The sequence below is a fragment of the Homo sapiens genome, chromosome 11, assembly GCF_000001405.40.
Source record: "Homo sapiens chromosome 11, GRCh38.p14 Primary Assembly".
NCBI classification, from domain to species: Eukaryota; Metazoa; Chordata; class Mammalia; order Primates; family Hominidae; genus Homo; species Homo sapiens.
Window position 1 is genome coordinate 84,762,214 of NC_000011.10, and position 20,391 is coordinate 84,782,604.

At 35.4% G+C, this 20,391-nt stretch overlaps 1 protein-coding gene and 1 long non-coding RNA gene across 28 annotated transcripts in view; one reads left to right on the forward strand and one right to left on the reverse strand.

The window, feature by feature from the left end:
- Positions 1-20,391, reverse strand: part of DLG2 (discs large MAGUK scaffold protein 2) — a 2,173,362-nt gene that overhangs the window by 1,307,202 nt on the left and 845,769 nt on the right. The gene's annotated exons all lie outside the window — the stretch shown is intronic.
- The window catches only part of LOC124902727 (uncharacterized), an 80,292-nt gene that overhangs the window by 41,802 nt on the left and 18,099 nt on the right, over positions 1-20,391 (forward strand). For both annotated transcript variants that reach the window (NR_189147.1, NR_189146.1), the window contains exon 3: positions 1,077-1,142. This is a non-coding gene — a long non-coding RNA (uncharacterized LOC124902727). The remainder of the gene's footprint in view (positions 1-1,076; positions 1,143-20,391) is intronic.

The window sequence follows — 20,391 nt, forward strand, 5'->3', positions numbered from 1 at the left end:
TTATTACACTTGCCAACTGTCCAAAAGAATGCCTCAAATATTAAGAATACACAATTTTTGACATCTTAAGTCTTCATATATTTCCTTTTATCTTCATGGTACTTTGCACAAGGTCTTAGATGGTGGCGTTCAATAAAAAATTATTCTATTAGTTAACTTAATACAATGCTCGGAATCTGTGTACAGTAGTTGTTGACAACTTAATTTATTATAATCTCCTTCCTGTATTTTCTTTCCTAAGAGGATTTAAAGCAGCTCCCAAAGGATAGGAGCTTAGGTCAGGTCAGAGGGAGATAAAGGCAAGAAAACTATTCATATCAGTTAATATAGTTTTTTGCTTTGTTTCAAAATTTGACTACAACAAGCATAGAGAGGCAAGGATTTCCCTTTTTCTCTCTTCTACTTCTTTTCCACTACCCTGGCACTACCTTCCAAAAGAAATTTCACATTGGAGATCCTGTGTCCATTCATTTAGTCATTCATGTATTCATTTAACTAATATTTATTGAATGTCCATGTACCAGTCAGAGAAGTAGGTGCTTGAGATACAAGACAGAGATGAGGATTGTTCCTTCCAACACAGCATTCACAGTGAGGATCTAAGAGTAAGTGAGTAATTTCAATAAAGCATACTAAGGGCTATGTTGGGAGAAATACATAATCCTATGGGAGGAGGCAGGGTGAAATCTAACCAAGACACAGATGCATGGAAGGTTTCTTAAAGAAAATGTTCAACTTAATATCCAAATTGAAAAAAAAATATTTTATAACAATTCTCCTTGCCCAAGGCCCTCATAGACATGCCATTCACTCTGCAGAATATTCTCCCCATTATGACTTGTGCCCACACCATTATTTGACCAATTTATTTGGCTAACTCCTATGCAACTTTCAGGACAGAGTCCGTATCTGTCTATTCACTGCCACATTTCCACACTAGCAAGTGCCAACTCTAACATAGGAGCTCGACAGCATTTTGAAAGGTAATCACACTATATTCTAATTATTAATAGTTGGTTTACATGACTAGAGCCTTCTCAAGGGCAGTGATGGTTTCATTTCTTCACTCTCAACAGGGCCTGCCTCTTTCTATTCCTTGACATAAACCGGACTCTTCATGCTAATCAGGCTGGAAGTGTATCGTAAGTCCTCACTGATACTCACATTCCATCTCTTGAGTTTAATCAGCTTCCATTTACCTATCCATTTGCTTCTTAGTCTTGGTATTGCTGTTTCCTTCATCTCTCACCCTCATTTGGATCCATATTTCAATGATCACATTCTCTGCCCAACCCCTCTGATTGATGCTCTGGTTTGAACATAACACAATTCTGGCGTTACCATCAGCATCTTCTCCTAGACACAGTTTCTCATTTTTTCTATCTGGGGTCACATAAACACAAAGTGTCCCCTGACATGCCACTGCTCTCTACTTACCCCAACTTCTCAATTGGCTCCTCCCTCAGGAGAAGAAAGAGGATACACAAACATTCAGATGAGTGCCAGGTATACAGTAGTCATTCCACTTATTCAGAATAACTTTTTTTAAATGCCATTAATTTTATAGTGGAATTCAATGTAAGAGTATTAACTGATCTATAAAATGTTTCACATATATTGTGTGAGATATATACCTCTATAATTTACCTCCTTCAAAATTCCTTAAGGAATTTAAGAAACTGTGTTTGTTGGGGTGAGGGGCTACATCAGCAAAAGCCAGGGGAGATTTTTACTTTATTCCATAATATTCTACCATAGATATTATTTAGATGCATTTATTATAAAATTTTCCTGGCTTACAATTAGTACAGAGTCTACCTAGAGAGCTTGCAGTTTATGCCCCCTTCAGTCAACATTACAAACCTGCAATTTCCTTTTATCTCACCATTTTATTGGCTCCCACTAGAGATACTGTGAGACAGTAAAAGAGATGGGAATTACACTTGCAGGAAGAATGCTTTCCAAAACATGTTCTAGCACTTGACTCTTGATAGTGTGTGGCAGCTGGAGGCAGGTGGCCAAATGTCCCAGTGCTATACCCTACCTGACTCTAATTTTCCCCTATAGTTACTCTCTTTCTGTAGCTTACCTATGACTCTACTTGTCAAATAAGTACTTATTCTTCCATTTCAGATGTTTCCACTTGTATAAAGACTTCAATGACTGCCCTCTATAGAGTTCTGCAGTTGTTCTAGTCAATATTTTGACGCACCTAACAATGATAGTTAACATTTACATAGTGCTCATTTTCTGCCAAGCACTGTTCTAAGCACTTTATAATAAAAAATGGCTAATTGAATCCTCACAACAGTCCTATCAAGAAGACACTGTTAGTATCTCCATTCTAAAGAGAAAGAAACTGAGTTTGGAAGTTAAAGCAGGTAAGTCTTGAAGAATGAGTTCATAGATTTTAATCAGGTAAAGAAAGATATTCTACACAAATAGAAGAGCATATATATGGTATATATATGCATATATGGCATGAGGTTATGAAGCAGAATAGTATGGGTATTCATTAATTTATTCAAAAATTATATTTTGAACATTGGCTACATTGTAGACACTGTGCTTAGTTTGGCATTCTGGGAGTAACGGGTAGCAAAGGAAAGAGAAGGTGCTACAAGCAGCTTATTGTTACTGGTAAGTAAAGATGAAAGGGGAAATGTAGGCAGGTTCAGTTCATGGAGGATGAATGTGTGTAATGCTAAGCAGCTTAGATTTGACCCAATAGGTGCTGGAGAAAACAAAGGAACTTTAAGAGAGGAAATAAGAAGATGGTTATATTTGCATGTCCAATGGCAGAAAGTGATGCCTTCTTTCCTAAACTTCCAGAGTATTTTGTACCTTTCATATTATTTATTGTATATTACCTTTTAGTATAAATTTAAACTGGATTCATATAAAGTACCTCAAGGGGATTTTAAGCTTCTAATAGGCAACAAACTTGACCACTAGGTTTTTGGATCCTCCATAATGCCTAGAACAGACTGTACTTTCTACTTAAATGTGTTCAGTAAATGTATGCCAGGTTGAATTATATAGTCCCTGTTTCTACACCTGCATCAAATTCCTCCCTGAAAACTCATGTCCCTTTTTGTCTTAGCAGGCTGAGCACAGGGACAAACTACTAATGACATAAGCAACGTGCTACATTTGTAGTAGATTAAGAAAGTTCTCCTGGATAATTAGACATCTGATAGTACTGACTCAGCCTCCCAGAATTCTTCACAAGAATACGGTCTCCCCTCAACCAAACACTGCCTTCTCAAAATCCTGGATCATGTCCTGTCACATAGAAATTGGACAAACTACTGAAAAATATCATTTTTTAGGATCTACTGTTGAGTAATTTTAAGGTTTCTGAGGAAAATATCACACATACTTGAGCCAGAACAGATATACAACTTCCTTGCTGTTATCAGAAAGGTATAAAAATTATTTTGTCATACTCAGCTAATTTAAAAATATTTAAGCAACCCATTCTTTATCCTACTACTGAAAAATAAATGAAGTTAAAAAACATAAAAGTAATTTACATAAATAAGGTGTTCAGCATTCTAGGTCACTTCATTTTGGTGTAAGTTTTTTTTATAGCAATCAAAATTATTTATCTGGATAAATTCTACCTTTTCCTGCTTGCCCTCACTAGTAAAACAATTTAATTCTATTATATCAGCATCACCTTTTCTTGATGCTGTTTTCCCAAACTTTAACCCACAAGACGGTATTCATTCATAAAGTAATCTGTACACTCTCTGAAAGCACACAAACAAGTATTCCCACAATACCTTCAGTTCACTTACATTCCCATAATACCTTCAGTTCGCTTAAACAGACATTTAATGAAGTGCAATACTCCTTCCGTAGCGGCCTTTGCATCACCTAACTTATTACTGACACATCCACCAGAGGGGGAAGGAACATTGTGGAGATGAACAGTTGAATGGTATTTACAGGAGACCACTGATCCCTATCAAATTGTAGTGTCATTTTAGCCTTCACAAGTGCAAAGATAATTTCTATGATATAGGAACTGATTGAAATTTTCTCTTCCCTTTCCATCCAAGGTGCATTTCTATGTGGAGTAGATGAGGTGTCATAACACTGTGTACCTTTCTTCCTATTATAGTATGAGTAATTTTACATCTATTTGAAATTTTCATGAGTACAGTGACCATGTCTTCTTTTTTCTTATCATCGCTCAGGGATAATATTCAAAATTGTTAGCAACTGGCCTAGCACAGTGACAAATCAATTAGAATGGATGCTGCTTAGAACACCACTTTGTTATGTACAAACAGAATATCAGTTCAGCAACTGGCATAATGTGGAGAACATAACAGCTCATCAGTAAATAATTGTTAAACAAATACGTGGATGAAGAAATTAACCGACTTACTGGATCAGACCTGTCTCACATTCAGTTTCAAATCATTCATTACTTCAGTGCTTTCATTGTATTTAATCATTCACTTTTTAAAATCCCTACAAAGTAGACACTACGTTTATTGTTTAGGGTAATTAGTAGGGGAGGAAAGATGGTTAAATAGAAATAGCCCATGCTTTAAGATGTTTATAGTCGTTATAGTCTTGCTTATAGTCAAGATGCTTATAGTATGGGAAATAAAATATTTTCATAAATAATCATAAACAAAGTAGAAATGAAAAGTATCAATGGCTTACTTTTGGGGACACTTGAGATTCAAAAATAGATCTGTTGGATTCCAAAGACCATGTGCATCTCACTATGTAAAACATTGGCTTTGGAATTTACACACCCGGATTTGAATCTCAGCTTCAGCATTACCTGGTATGTTGGATAACATTGGGAAAGTCATTAAACCATTTTCAGTCTCAGTTTTCTTATCTTTAAAAGAGGGGTAATAGTACCCACCTCTCAGAGTTTGAGTGTATTTTAAGTATAACCATATTTTAACATATTTAGCACAAAGTGTAATAATACAGTAGATGCTCATTAGATATTAATCATTTTATATATGCAAGTTAACTGTATCTTATATTAGAATACTGGTATTATGGTGGTCATAAAACTATATTGTTTTAAAGAAAATAAAATTATCAGCTTCTAAAATTTCATATTAGATTGGGCAAAGGCTTGAGGATCAGACAGACGCAGAAACAAACAGTTATTCCATAAACTACCACGTTTATGGCTTGAAGCATATTACCTAACATATTTGAACCTCTAATTTCTTCATTTTTACAACTATATAGGATTGCTATGGGGATTTAAAAGAAAGAAGGTGCTCATGATACATTAACTGCTTCAAAATGCAATTTAAAATATGAGGAGCCTTAAAGGTCCTGAGCAGAGATAATAAAGTCCTCACTTTCTATTTTAAAACTAAAATTAAGATTGTTCCTAACCTGGAACATGTTTCCTGTCAAGATTTTTTTTTTTATTAAGCTATGTGATAGGATGATTGATTCCATTGGAAAACTTGTAGTGGATAAAACACTCACAAGAGGTCCCCTATGCAGAAGGCTGAATGTGAAAAGAGATGTTTGGAGAAGCAGAGTATTATCTGCATAATAGCTGTACCTTGGTCCCCAGAGTAGGTAGCTTATATTCCTAGATAACAGGACTCCAAGACCTGAAGAAATTCTTTCCCTAGTTGAGATATAGTAGATATTATTGACCTTGAGTTTCTCTCCCTTTGGCCTTCTCTTAAAACTCTGGATACATGTATTATCAGGAGAAATCTAGTGCAAGGCAGACCTGTGCCTGCATTAAGAAAATGATACTGAAGTTATGGAAGGAGAACAATAAAGAGGAGGACTCAATCTGAGTCTCAAGTCTTTCCACATCTCAGCAATGTTATGCTGGGCAAATGACCCTTCTTTTAAATCCTACTTTATTTCATCTGTTAAATGAGAATGCCAATGTTTCTAAGCTTAACAACTTTCAACGTATATTTATAAATAAAGTTATGCACAAAGAAAAAGTACACACAAATAGACGATTCTTATCCTACCCCAAGATGTCACTATTGCTCATTATGGCTATTTTAGTCTGAGCCATCTCGTTATTCTATAGCTTATGACTTGTTTGTTGTGTTTATGCTTATTTTGAGTCATTTTTAAAACAGCCAACCCTATTATGAAGCCATTTAATGCCATATTCACCATTAAATGTAAAAGAATTAGTATTGTTTTTTCATAAATGTGTAGAACTTGTTACTTCAGAGTGTCACTTCAGAAATTAAGAAATGGAATTTTAAAATAGCCTATTTGATAGTACAGAATATTTGAAATAGTAATAACTGCCTGACTTGCCTACAGGAGTGTGCAATATATAATAGTACAAATACTTCATAAAATAAAAAATGTGACTGAAATATATTCATTGGTATATGTCTACCCCTACATGCAGTGCTAGGTGGATTCATTGTTATAGAGGAAGTCAAAGTAAAGGAGCCTGGAGATAAAAAGTAGGCATATCTATAAACCCTAGGACAAATTATAAACGACTGAAATTTCTGAAAAAAAATGTAGATGATTATTAGAAATTGGTGGATTCTACTCCCTCTCACCAGATTCCTGGGAGACCAAATGCTCCCAGGAATCTCTCTAGCCCAGCTCCTACCCTCTCCAAGAATCTCTCCTTTCCCAGAAATCTCTCTCTAGGCCAGCTCCTCCCCTCTCCAAGATTTCTCTCTAAAGCTGGTTCTATCATTTAATGATGTTCCAATAAGAAAGAGAAGAGAAAAAAATATATTAATAACATTGTAGGGAAATACAGAAAAAGAAAACATCTTACTTTCATAAAAATAATTTAAAATAATTAGAAGTGCCAGTGTCTTCAGATGAGTAGGAATCAGTGCAAATTTTCTGACACTATGAAAAATCTGAATGTAGTGACACCACCAAACGCTCCTATTAGCCCTCCAGCAATGATCCCTAACCAAAATGGAAATTCAGAAATGACAGATAAAGAATTCGAAGCATGTATTTCAAGGAAGCTAACTGAGGTACAAGACAAAGTTAAAAATCTACACAAAGAAACTTCTAAAGCAATCTGGAAAATTAAAAAGAAGATAAATATCTTTAAAAGAATCATTCAGTTCTTCTGGAATTAAAAAACTCACTTAAGGAATTTTAAAATACAATTGAAAGCTTTATCAACAGACTAAAACAATCAGAAGAAAGAATTTCAGGGCACGAAGACTGGCTTTTCAAATTAACCCAGTCAGAATAAAATATACATATTTTTAATGAACAAAGTCTCAGAGAAATATGGGATTATTTAAAGTGACCAAATATATAAATTATTGGTATTGCTGAGAAAGAGAAGAAGTAAGCAACGTGGAAAACATATTTCAGGAAATAATTCAAGAAAATTTCACTGATCTTGCTAGAGAGGTAGACGACATTTAGATACAAGAAACCTAGAGAACACCTGTAAGATACTATACAAAACAAACATCACCAAGGCATACAGTCATCAGACTGTTTATGGTCAATGCTAAAGAAAAAAATCTTTAGGCAGCTAGAGAAAAAGGCCACATTACGTACAAAGGAAACTTAATCAGGCTAATGGTGGATTTCTCACCAGAAACCTTATAAGCCAGGAGAGACTGGGTGCCTATTCCTAAAGAAAATAAATTCCAACCAAGAATTTAATATCCTGCCCAACCAAGCTTCAAAAGCAACAGAGAAGTAAAGTATTTGCCAGACAAGCAAGTGCTAAGTGAATTTGTTACCATAAGAGTAACATTATAAGAGATCTCGGTATAGTTCAGATATTTGTTTCTGCAAATCTCATGTTAAAATATAGTCACCAATGTTGGAGATGGGGCCTGGTGGGAGATGTGTGGGTTATGGAGGTAGATTCCCCATGGCTTGGGGCTGTTCTTGCAGTAGCAAGTGAGTTCTTGCAAGATCTGGTTGCTTAAAAGTGTGTAGCACCTCCCTTCTGTCTCTGGCTCCTACTCTGGCTGTGTGACATTCCTATTCCCACTTCACCTTCTCCCATGAGTAAAAGTTCCCTGAGGCCTCCTCAGAAGCTGAGCAGATGCTGGTGTCATGCTTCCTATACATCCTGCAGAATAATAATCCCATTAAAAATCCTTCTTTTAAAACTTTCATTTTAGATTCAGGGGTACATGTGCAGGTTTGTTATATAGGTAAACTCATGTCATATGGGTTTGTTGTACAGGTTATTTCATCACCAAGGTACCAGGCCTAGTATCCAATGGATATTTTTTCTGCTCCTCTCCCTCCTCCCATCCTCCGCCCTCGAGCAGGTCCCAGTCTGTTGTTGCCTCTTTATGTTCATAAGTTCTCCTCATTAAGCTCCCACTTTTAAGTGAGAGCATGCAGTATTTGGTTTTCTATTCCTGCATCAATTTGTGAAGGATAATGGCCTCCAACTGCATCCACGTTGCTGTAAAGGATATGATTTCATTCTTTTTTTTTTTTTTTGAGACGGAGTCTTGCTCTGTCGCTCAGGCTGGAGTGCGGTGCAGTGGCACGATCTCGGCTCCCTGCAAGCTCTGCCTCACGGGTTCACGCCATTCTCCTGCCTCAGCCTCCCTAGTAGCTGGGACTACAGGTGCCAGCTACCACGCCTGGCTAATTTTTTTTTTTTTTTAAGTAAGGACAGGGTTTCACCGTGTTAGCCAGGGTGGTCTCAATCTCCTGACCCTCGTGATCTGCCTGCCCACCTTGGCCTCCCATAGTGCTGGGATTACAGGCATGAGCCACTGCGCTCAGCCGATTTCATTCTTTTTATGGCTGCCTAGTATTCCATGGTGTATACGTACGCCATTTTCTTTATCCAGACAACTATTTATGGGCACCTGGGTTGATTCTGTCTTTTCTATGTGAATAGTGCTGCAGTAAACGTGTGGTATGTGTCTTTATAACAGAATAATTTATATTCCTTTGGGTATACACTCAGTCGTGGGATTGCTGGGTCAAATGGCATTTCTGTCTTTAGGACTTTGAGGAATTGCCACACTGTCTTCCACAATGGTTGAACTAATTTACAGTCCCACCAACAGTGTACAAGTGTTCCCTTTTCTCTACAACCTTGCCAGCATCTGTTATTTGTTGACTTTTTAATAATAGCCATTCTAATTGGTGTGAGATGGTATCTCATTGTGGTTTTGATTTGAATTTCTGTAATGATCAATGATACTGAGCTTTTTTTCATATGCTTTTTGGCCACACGTCTTCTTTTGAAAAGCGTCTGTTCATATCTTTTGCTCACTTTTAATGGGGTTGTTTTTTTCTTGTGAATTTGTTTAAGTTCCTTCCAGATGCTGGATATTAGACCTTTGTCAGATGCACAGTTTGCAAATATTTTTTCCCATTCTGTAGTAAACCTGTTTTCTTTATAAATTACCCAGCCTCAGGTATTCCTTTGTGGCAACACAATAATGGCCTAATAAAAATCCTAAGGGAGTTTTATAAACAGAAATGAGAGAACTATACCTGCTATCACAAAGACACACCAAAATATATGGCACACAGACCCTATACAACAACCACACATGGAAACTAGAAAATAACCAGCTAACAACTTTATGACAGGATCAAAACCTCATGTATCTATATCAACCATAAATGTAAATGCTCTAAATGCCTCACGTAAAATGCACAGAATTCCAAGTTGGGTTAAAAAAAAAGACCCATCAGGATAAAAAATCAATGTACAAAAAGCAGTAGCATTTCTAAACACAAATAACATTGAAGCTAAGAGCCAAATCAAAAACACAATCCCATTGACAATAGCTACACCCAAAAATAATATACCATCTGCAGTCTTGAAGGGCATCTTTCACATGTAATGACCCCCATAGGCTCAATCAAAGAGTTGGAGAAAGATCTGTCATGCAAATGGAAAACAAAAAGGAAAAGGAATTGCTATTCTTATATCAGATAAAACAGACTTTAAACCAACAACAATAAAAACGACAACAAAAACCAAAAAAAAAAGAAGGGCATTACGTAATGATAAAGGTTCAATTCAACCAGAAGACTTAACTATCCTCAATATATATGCTAACTATCCTAAATATATATGCACTCAGCATTGGAGCACCCAGATTCATAAAACATGCACTTCTAGACCTGTGAAAATACTTAGACATCTGCAGAATAATAGGTAGGATTTCAACACACCACTGACAGCATTAGATAGATCATTGAGGCAGAATAGTATCAAGTAAATTCTGGACATAAATTTGACACTTGACAAGCTGGATCTAATAGACATCTACAGAATAATCCACTCATCAACCACAGAATATACATTCTTCTCATCTGCACATGGAACATACTCCAAGATTGGCCACACACTTGGCCACAAAACAAGTCTAAATACATTTTTAAAAATCAAAATCATACTAACTATACTCTTGGACCACAGTGAGATAAAAAAAGAAACCAATACCAAGACGAACTCTCAAGACCACACAATTACATGGAAATTAAACAAGTCACTCCTGAATGACTTTTGGTTGAATAATGAAATTAAGGCAGAAATAAAAAAATTCTTTGAAATAAATAAAAGCTGAGACACAACATACCAAAATCTCTGGGATGCTGCAAAAGCAGCGGTAAGAGGAAAGTTTACAGTACTAAAGTCCTACATCAAATATTATAAAGATCTAAAGTTAATGACCTAATATCACACCAAGAAAAACTAGAAAAATGAGAATAAACTATCCCCAAAGCTAAAAGAAGAAAAAAATAACTAAAGATCAGAAGTGAATGACATTGATAACCCAAAATCCACACAAAGAATCAACAAAACCAAAACTTGGTTATTTGAAGGGATAAATAAGATCAATAAACCACTAGCTAGAATAAAAAAGAAAAAGAGTGAAGATCCAAATAAGAAACTAAAAAAGTGCTATTACAACATATCCCACAGAAATGCAAAAGCTCTCCAGAAACCATTATGAACACCTCCATGAACAAAAACTAGAAAATCTAAAGGAAATGGATAAATTCTTGGAAACATACAACCTCCCAAGAGTGAACCAGGAATAAAATGAAATCCTGAACAGACCAATAATGAGTTTCAGAACTGAATCAGTAATACAATCCTACCAACCAGAAATAGCCCTGGAGAAGAATTCACAGCTGAATTCTACCAGACATATAAAACACAACTAGCACAATTCTACTGGAATTATTCCAAGATTTCAAGAAGAGACTCCTCCCTAACTCATTCTATGAGGCCAGCATCATCCTGCTACCAAAACCTGGCAGAGACACAATGAAGAAAGTAAACTTCAGGCCAATATCCCTGATGAACACAGATGCAAAAATTCTCCACCAAATGCTAGCAAACTGAATCCAGCAGCACAGCAAAAAGCTAAACCACCACGATCAAGTAGGTTTTATTCCTGGGATGCAAAGTTGGTTCCACATATGCAAACCCATGCAAATAATACGAAAATCAATAAATGTGATTCACATAAACAGAATTAAAAACAAAAACCATATCATCTCAATACAGGTGGAAAAAGATTTCAGTAAATTTCAACATCCCTTCATAATAATGACCCTCAACAAACTAGTTATTAAAGGAACATACCTCAAAATAATAAAAGCCTTCTATGACAAACCCACAGCCAACATCATACTAAGTGGGCATAAGCTAGAAGCATTCCCCTTGAGAAGGGGAACAAGACAAGGATGCCCACTCTCACCAGTCCTATTAAAGATAATATTGTAAGTTGTAGCCAGAGTAATCAGACAAGAGAAAGAAATAAAAGGCAACCAAATAGGAAAAGAAGTCAAACTCTCTCTCTTCGCTGATGATATAATTTTATCCCAGGAATACCCTAAAGATTTCAATAAAAGACTCTTGGAACTGATAAAAGACTTCAGTAAACTTTCAGGACACAAAATCAATGTAAAAAATTCAGTAGAATTTGTAAATACCAATAAAGTTCAAGCTGAGAACCAAATCAAGAATGCAATCCTATTTACAATAGCCAAAAATAAATAAAATACCTAGGAATACATTCAAGCAAGGAGGTAAAAGACTTCTACAGAAGAACTACAAAATACTGCAAAAAAATAAATAAAAAAACAACAGATGACAAAAACGAATGGAATAATCTTCAATGCTCATAGATTGGAAGAATCAATATCATTAAAATGGCCATACTGCCTAAAGTGGTCTATAGATTCAATGCTATTTCTATCAAACGACCAACATTCTTTTTCCCAGAATTAAAAAAAGACTATTCTAAAATCCATATGGAACAACACAACAAAAAGTCCAAATAGCCAAAATAATCCTAAGCAAAAAGAACAAAGCTTAAAGCATTGCATCACCTGACTTCAAACTATACTGTAAGGCTACATTAACCAAAACAGTATGGCACTGGTACAAAAACAGAAACATAGACCAATGGGGCCGAGAACGCAGAAATAAAGCTGCACAACTACAGCCACCTGCTCTTGACAAAGTCAACAAAAATAAGCAATGGAGAGAGGACTTTCTAGTCAATAAATGGTGCTGAGATACTTGCTATCCATATGCAGAAGAATAAACCTGGACCCCTACTTTTCATCATGTACAAAAATTAACTCAAGATTGATTTAAATGTAAGACCTTAAACTCTAAGAATCCTAAATAAAACATAGGAAGCACCATTTTGGAAATCACCCTTGGGAAAGAATTTATGACTACATCCTCAAAAGCAACCGCAATAAAAAGAAAAATTGACAAATGGGATCCAATTAAACTAAAGATCTTTTGCACAGCAAAAGAAACTACCAACAGAGTAAAGAGGCAACCTACATATTGTAGAAAATATTCACAAACTATGCATCTAACAAAGGTCTAATATCCAGAATCTATAAGAAACTTAATTCAACCAACGAAAAGCTAATAACCTCATTAAAAAATGAGAAAAGGACATGAATAGACACTTCTCAAAAGAATACATACAAGCAGCCAACAAACATGAAAAAATGCTCATCACTAATCACCACGAAAATGCACATCAAAACCACAATGAGATACCATCTCATACCCATCAGAATGGCTATTATTAAAAAGTAAAAATCAACAGATGTTGATGAGCTTGTGGAGAAAAGGGAATGCTTGTACACCTTTGGTGGGAATGTAAATTAGTCCAGCCACTGTGGAAAGCAGTTAGGAGATGTCTGAAAGAACTTAATACAGAACTACTATTCAACCCAGCAGTCGCATTAGTGGGTATATATCCAAGAGAAAATAAATCATCCTACCAAAAAGACACATGTGTGTTCATTGCAGCACTATTCACAATAGCAAAAACATGGAATAAACTTAAGTGTCCATCAATGCCGGACTGGATAAAGAAAATGGGGTACATATACACCATGAAATACCAGGCAGCCATAAAAAAAGTGAAATCATGTTCTTTGCAGCAACATGGATGCAGCTGAAGGTCATAATTTTAGACAAATTAACAGAAAATGAAAGCTAAATACCACATGTTCTCACTTCTAAGTGGGAGTTATACATGGCAACAATAGACACTGGGTACTACTGGAGGGGGATGGTACAGCAAGGGGCAAGGTTGAAAAACTAACTATTGGGTACTATGCTTGCTCTTTGGGTAACATAATTAATTGTACCATAAACCTCACACAGTATACTCATGTAACAAGCTTGCCCATGTACCCGCAGAATCTAAAATAAAAGTTAAAATTATTTTAAAAAGGAATTAGGAAAGGAGTGAGTCCATTTAAAACTTCTGTTGGATGTATGTGCGAAGAGCTCTTTTGTTTGTTTCAATATCTTATTGCTGGGCTTATAATACTGTAATTTCTGATAACTGATATTTCTTATGTTTTTCAAATATTGGTGATCAAATATGCCTGATTATTTAACCTATTAAGTATTTTATCCCCTCCTTTTTGTTTATTGAGGTACACCTTTTTAGGCATGTACAATTCTATCACTTTTTGTTGTTGTTGTTTGAGGCAAGTTATTGGTCTGTTTCCTAGGCTGGAGTGCAGTTGTGTGATCACAGCTCACTGCAGTCTTGATCTTCTGGGCTTAATTAATCCTTCCACCTAATCCTAAGTAGCTGGGGCCACAGGCACACACGACCATGCCTGGCTAATTTTTTAAAACATTTTTTTGTACTGACAGGGTCTCCTTATGTTGCCCAGGCTGGTCTTGAACTCCTGGGCTCTAGCAATCCCCCAGCCTTGGCCTCTAAAATAATGGGATTACAGGCATAAGCCACTTTGCCTGGCCTGTGATGTTTGATTAACATTTCTACTCATGTAATCACTGCTACAGGCAATCGAGATAGAACATTTACCTCATCCCAAAAGTTCTTTTATGTATGTTTATAATTCATAGCCTCTCCCAATCCATATGTCCTGGCAACCACTGATCTGATTTCTGTCCAAAAAGTTTTCTAATTTCCATAATGGCATATTAGTGAAAACGATATAATATATAGTATTTTGAGTCTGGTTTGAGTTAACATAATCCATTTGAGAGTCATCCATGTTGTCATGTATACCAATATTTCATTTGCTTATATTGCAGAGGGGTATTCCATTATATGGATATACCACACTTTATCCATTAATTACCTGATGGACATTTGGTATCTTTCCAGCTATAGAAGATTAGGGATAAATCTGCTATAAGTATTATTAAAATATATTGTGCAAAGATATATTTTTCTTTTTTATTTGTATAAATTACTGGGTAGAAGTGTAATTTTGTTATAAGCATAGATTGTTATAGTGCTCAAGTCAGGGCTTTTAGGGTATCCATCACTCAAATAACATACATTGTACCCATTAAGTAATTTCTTATCATCCAGCTCTCTCACTTCCTCACCTTTGCGAGTCTTGGGTGTCTGTCATTTCACTCTGTATGTCCGTATGTACACTTTTTTAAGCACCCATTTATGAGTGAGAACATGCAATATTTGACTTTCTGTGTTTGACTTTCTGTGTTTCACTTAATGACCTCCAGTTCCATCCATGTTGCTGCAAAAGATGTAATTTCATTCTTTTTGCTGTCTAAATAGTATCCATTGTGTGTGTATGTATATGTGTGTGTGTATATATATATATATATATATATATATATATATATATATATATACGTTTTCTTTACCCAGTCATCCACTGATGGATGCTTATGTTTATTCTGTATCTTTGCTATTGTGAATAGTGCTGTGATAAACGTAACAGTGTAGGTATCTTTTTGATATATTGATTTCTTCTCCTCTGAGCAGATAGCTTAGAGTGGGATTGCTGTATCTAATAGTAGCTGTTTTTTAGATTTTTTTGAGAAAACTCCATACTGTTTTCCATAGAGGTTGGACTAATTTACGCTCCCACTAACAGTGTATAAGAGTTCCCTTTTATTTGCATCCTCACCAACATTTGTTATTTTATTTATTTATTTATTTATTTTGTTTCTTTAAAAACAGCCATTCTGACTGGGGTAAGATATCTCACTGTGGTTTTAATTTGCTTTTCTTGATAAGTGACGTTGAGCATTATTTCATATACCAGTTGTATGTCTTCTTTTGAAAAATGTCTATTCATGTCCTTTGCCCACTTTTTAATGGGATTATTTGTTGATTTTGTTCAGTTGTTTGAGTTCCTTGTAAATTCTGAATATTAGTTCCCTGTTGGATGAATAGTTTATAAATATTTGCTCCCATTTTGCAGGCTGTCTGTTCACTCTGTCAATTATTTCCTTTGCTGTGCAGAAGATTTTTAGTTTAATTAAGCCCCATTTGTCTATTTTTGGTTTTGTTGCCTGTGCTTTTCAGGAGTTAGTCATAAATTCTTTGCCTAGACCGATATCCAGAAGAGTTTTCCCTAGGTATTCTTCTAGCATTTTTATAGTTTCAGGTCTTATGTTTACGTCTTTAATCCATCTTGAGTTGATTTTGGTATACGGCCAGAGATATGGATCCAATTTCATTCATCTGCATATGGTAATCCGATTTTCCCAGTACCATTTATTGAAAAGAGTATCCTTTTCCCAATGTATGTTCTTGTCAGGTCTATCAAAGATCAGTTGGTTGTAGTTATGTGGCTTCATTTCTGGATTCTCTATTCTGTTCTATTGATCCATGTGTCTTTTTATTTTTATACCAGTATCATGCTGGTTTGATTATTATAGCCTTGGAATATAAAATCAGGTAATGTGATTCTCTCAGTTTTGTTCTTCTTGCTTAAGACGTTTTGAGTCTTCTGGTTCATTTTTGATTCCATAAAATTTTTAAATTGCTTTTTCTAATTCTGTGCAAAATTGTTGGTATTTTGATAAAAAATGCATTGAATCTGTAGATTGCTTTGAGCAGTATAGTCATGTTAACAATATTAATTCTTCCAGTCCGTGAGAATGAGATTTTTTATTTGTGTTATCTACAATTTATTTCATCATTGTTTTGTAGTTTTCCTTGTAGACATCTTTCACCTTCTGTGATGGTTAATATTGTGTCAAGCTGATTGGATTGAAGGAGGGAAATTATTGTTTTTGGATGTATCTGGGTGTTGCCAGAAGAGATTAACATTTGAGTCAGTGAACTGAGAGAGGAAGACTCACCCTCAAGAAGACCCACTCCCATTATGTGTGAGCACCATCCAATCAACTATCAGCATGGCTAGAGAAAGCAGGCAGAAGAAGGTGAAAGAAGCTGACTTGCTGAGTCTTCCCGCCTTTCTATTTCTCCTGTGAGGGATGCTTCCTGCTCTTGAACATCAGACTCCAAGTTCTTTGGTTTTTGGACTCTTGAACCTACGCCAGTGGTTTGCCAGGGGCTCTCAGGCCTTCAGCCACTGATGAAAGCCTGCACTGTCGGCTTCCCTACTTTTGAGGTTTTGGGACTCAGACTGAGCCACTACTGGCTTCCTTGCCCCTCAACTTGCAGATGGCCTACTGTGGGACTTCACGTTGTGATTGTGTGAGTAATTCTCCTTAATAAATTCCCTTTCTCATATATATATATGTGCGCACACACACACACACACACATATATATGTATATATACACACACACATATCCTATTAGTTCGGTCCCTCTGGAGAACCCTAATATAACTTTTTTTGTGAAATTTATTCTCAGGTACTCTTTTTTTGTTGCTATTGTAAATAATACTGCTTTCTTTATTTCTTTATCTGCTAGATCTTTTGGTTTCTACAAATGCTACTTATTTTTATACATTGATTTTATATCCTACAACTTTACTAAATTCACTTATCAAATCTAGGAGTTTTTTTGTGGAGTCATTAGTTTTTTCTAAATACAAGATCATATCATCAGCAAACAGGAATAACTTGACTTCCTCCTTTCCAATTTGGATGCCTTTTCTTTCTTTCTCTTGCCTGATCGTTCTGGCTAGGACTTCCAGTGCTATGTTAAATAGGAGAGAGGCAAAACTGATAAACTTCTAGCTAGACTAACCAAGAGGAGAGAATAACCAAATAAACAAAATCAGAAATGAAAAAGGAGACATTAAAATTAATGCCACAGAAACATGAAAGTTCATCAGAGACTATTATGAACAACTACATGCTCATAAAATAGAAAACTTAGAGGAAATGGATAAATTTCTGGAAATGTACAACCTCCCCGTATTGAGCCAGGAAGAAATAGAAAATCTGAACAGATCAATAATAAGATAGGATCAATAACAAAACAATCTCTCAACAAAAAAAAAAGCCCAGGACCAGGACCAGGACCAGATTGTGATATTCACAACCAAATTCTACCAGATATACAAAGAAGAACTAATACCAATCCTCCTAAAATCGTTCAAATCAAAGAAGAGAAAATTCTTCCTAATACATTCTACCATGCCAGTATCATCCTGATACCAAAACGAGGCAAGGACACAACAAAAATAGAAAATTATAAACCAATTTTCCTAATGAACAAAGATGCAAAAATCTTTGTTCATTACTAGCAAACCCAATCCAACATCACATCAAAAAGATTATACACCATGATCAAATGGTTTTTATGCTAGGGATGCAAAGATGGCTCAATATTCTCAAATTAATAAATATGATACATCACATAAAATTAAGACAAAAACGATATGATCATCTCAATAGACAAAGAAAAAGCATTTAATAAAATTCAGCATGACTTCATGATAAAAAAATTAAAAAACTATACATAGAAGCAACATACCTCAAAAAAATATAGGCCATATATAATATACACACAGGAAACATCACACTGAATAGGAAAAAGTTGAAAACATTTCCTGTAAGAACTGGAACAAAGATATATTTCTCAGATTGCTGGATTTATGGTAAGTTTATGTTTAACTTTATAAGAAACTGCCAAACTGTTTTCCTGAGTGGCTGTAACATTTTTTCATTCTCATCAGCAGTGTGTGTGAATTCTGATTGCCTAACATCCTTATCCACATTTGGTACTGTCATTTGTTATTGTTGTTGTTGTATCATTCTAATAGGTATGTGGTGACATCTTATTGTGGTTATAATTTTCTCTTACATTGAATTGAAAACATTTTTAAAATTCAGATATTTCCCTATAGCTCCAATATACACATTTAGTAACAAATGATACTATTATCGCAAAATTTGTGGATGGATTTAACTTCCTTCTTCCAGGTATATTCATCTTAATGATTGTTTTGAATTCAGCTTCCTTTATGCCATTATAGTTTTTTCCCACTAGATGGCAACTGCTCAGTTGTTTAGAACGGCTGAGTAGCTAAAAGCAAGGAACATAAAGGATAGAGTCAAGCTATGAATTGTGAAGTGCTTTACTCCAGGATTGTACAAAAAAAAAAAAAAAAAGCGACAAGACTTCATTGTCTGCCAAAAGTTCATCATAACTTAATGTGTGTGTGTGTGTGTGTGTGTGTGTGTGTATACTTTCTAAGTAATTTCAATCTAAGTTTGGAACTACCAAATGTGGATGGAGCACAGAATATAAAAATACAAAACAAGGTATCTTTTGAATGTAAGTTAGTGTCACAAAGTAAACAAATAGTTTGTAGAAAACATTCAGAAACTATCTAGTTTCTTCAGACAGTATATACTTCTGGAGAATATAATTTGAAACACAGATATTTTAGTAGTTTTGACATACCAAACATATATTTTCTGGAATACCTGTAGGTAAACTGAGAAGTTAGTTAAGGGTTTTCTGATTGCTTTTTGCTGTTATTTTAGCACCACATAGGACCTCCTCCCTGAGTTGATTTCATTCATTAATCAAATATTTACTAAGTTTCTATTCTGTTTCAAGCTTTGTGGTAGCATCAAGAATACTAAGAGGAAAACGACCTAATACATGATAATAAAATAATAATATAATAATAATAATAGAAATTGTCCTTTAAGTGCCAGAAAGTATTCTAAGACATTTATAAACATACTACTTCTTATTACCACAATCTTATGAAATGTTATTGCTCCTCTTTAGGAGACACAAATTGAAGACTGAGACCCTCTGACAACCGCAGTAGTTATAGTTGAGACAAAAATGATTTTAAAGAATATTCATGTTTAGAGTGGACCAGAGATGTCACCCCAAAATTACTCTTTGCAGCCATGTAGTATGGAAGGAAACAAGATATTTCCATGTCCTCAGTGCTGAACAACTTTTAGTAGTCGAGAGATTCCAAGCCTACCCATGCAGCTTCTATAGTGATATACAACAGAGATGGCAGAGGGCAGGGTCTAAGACAGAGGCTGGATGGAGGACAGACCTAGGATGCAAGAAGCAGAATTGAAGCCCAAATAGGAATCAAGATAGAGCCAAGTCATCGATCTCTAGCCATGCCAAAAGAAGATGCTTGGAATACCATTAGCAGCCACAATCTTCACTTGACAATATCAGTATGATTCTTGGAAATCAAGACAAGAAACACTTCCATGGATACCTGCAAAACCCCACGGGTAACAGACACACACATGTAGCCCAGGTGTTTACTCCCATTATAAAGACATGTAAACTTCCCCACACTCCAAGATACTATCCGGGGTGGATTAGATGGGAAAGACAAACTTTTGAGAGGAGAGAAATATAACTTGATTAAATATTTATCCAAAATAATATTGCTTTAAATATATCACTAGGTACCTTTAAGTTTTTAAGTTTTGGGGAATCAAAGATAACTTTGAGGATTTAGTAAAAGTTATGAACATTCTTTCCCACTGGCTTCCTACCCACCCACCTACATACACACATTCTCTTTCCCACTAACTACCCCTACCACACACACACACACACACACACACACATTAAAATGAGTAATTCAAAATATTTGCGTATATCTCTATAGGGCTTAGTGAATAACTGAAGCTTAGTCATTAACTCCTGGAAGATCTATGAATCCCGGGTTAAGAAATCCTAGGTTGTGGAAATGGCACTAGACTTGA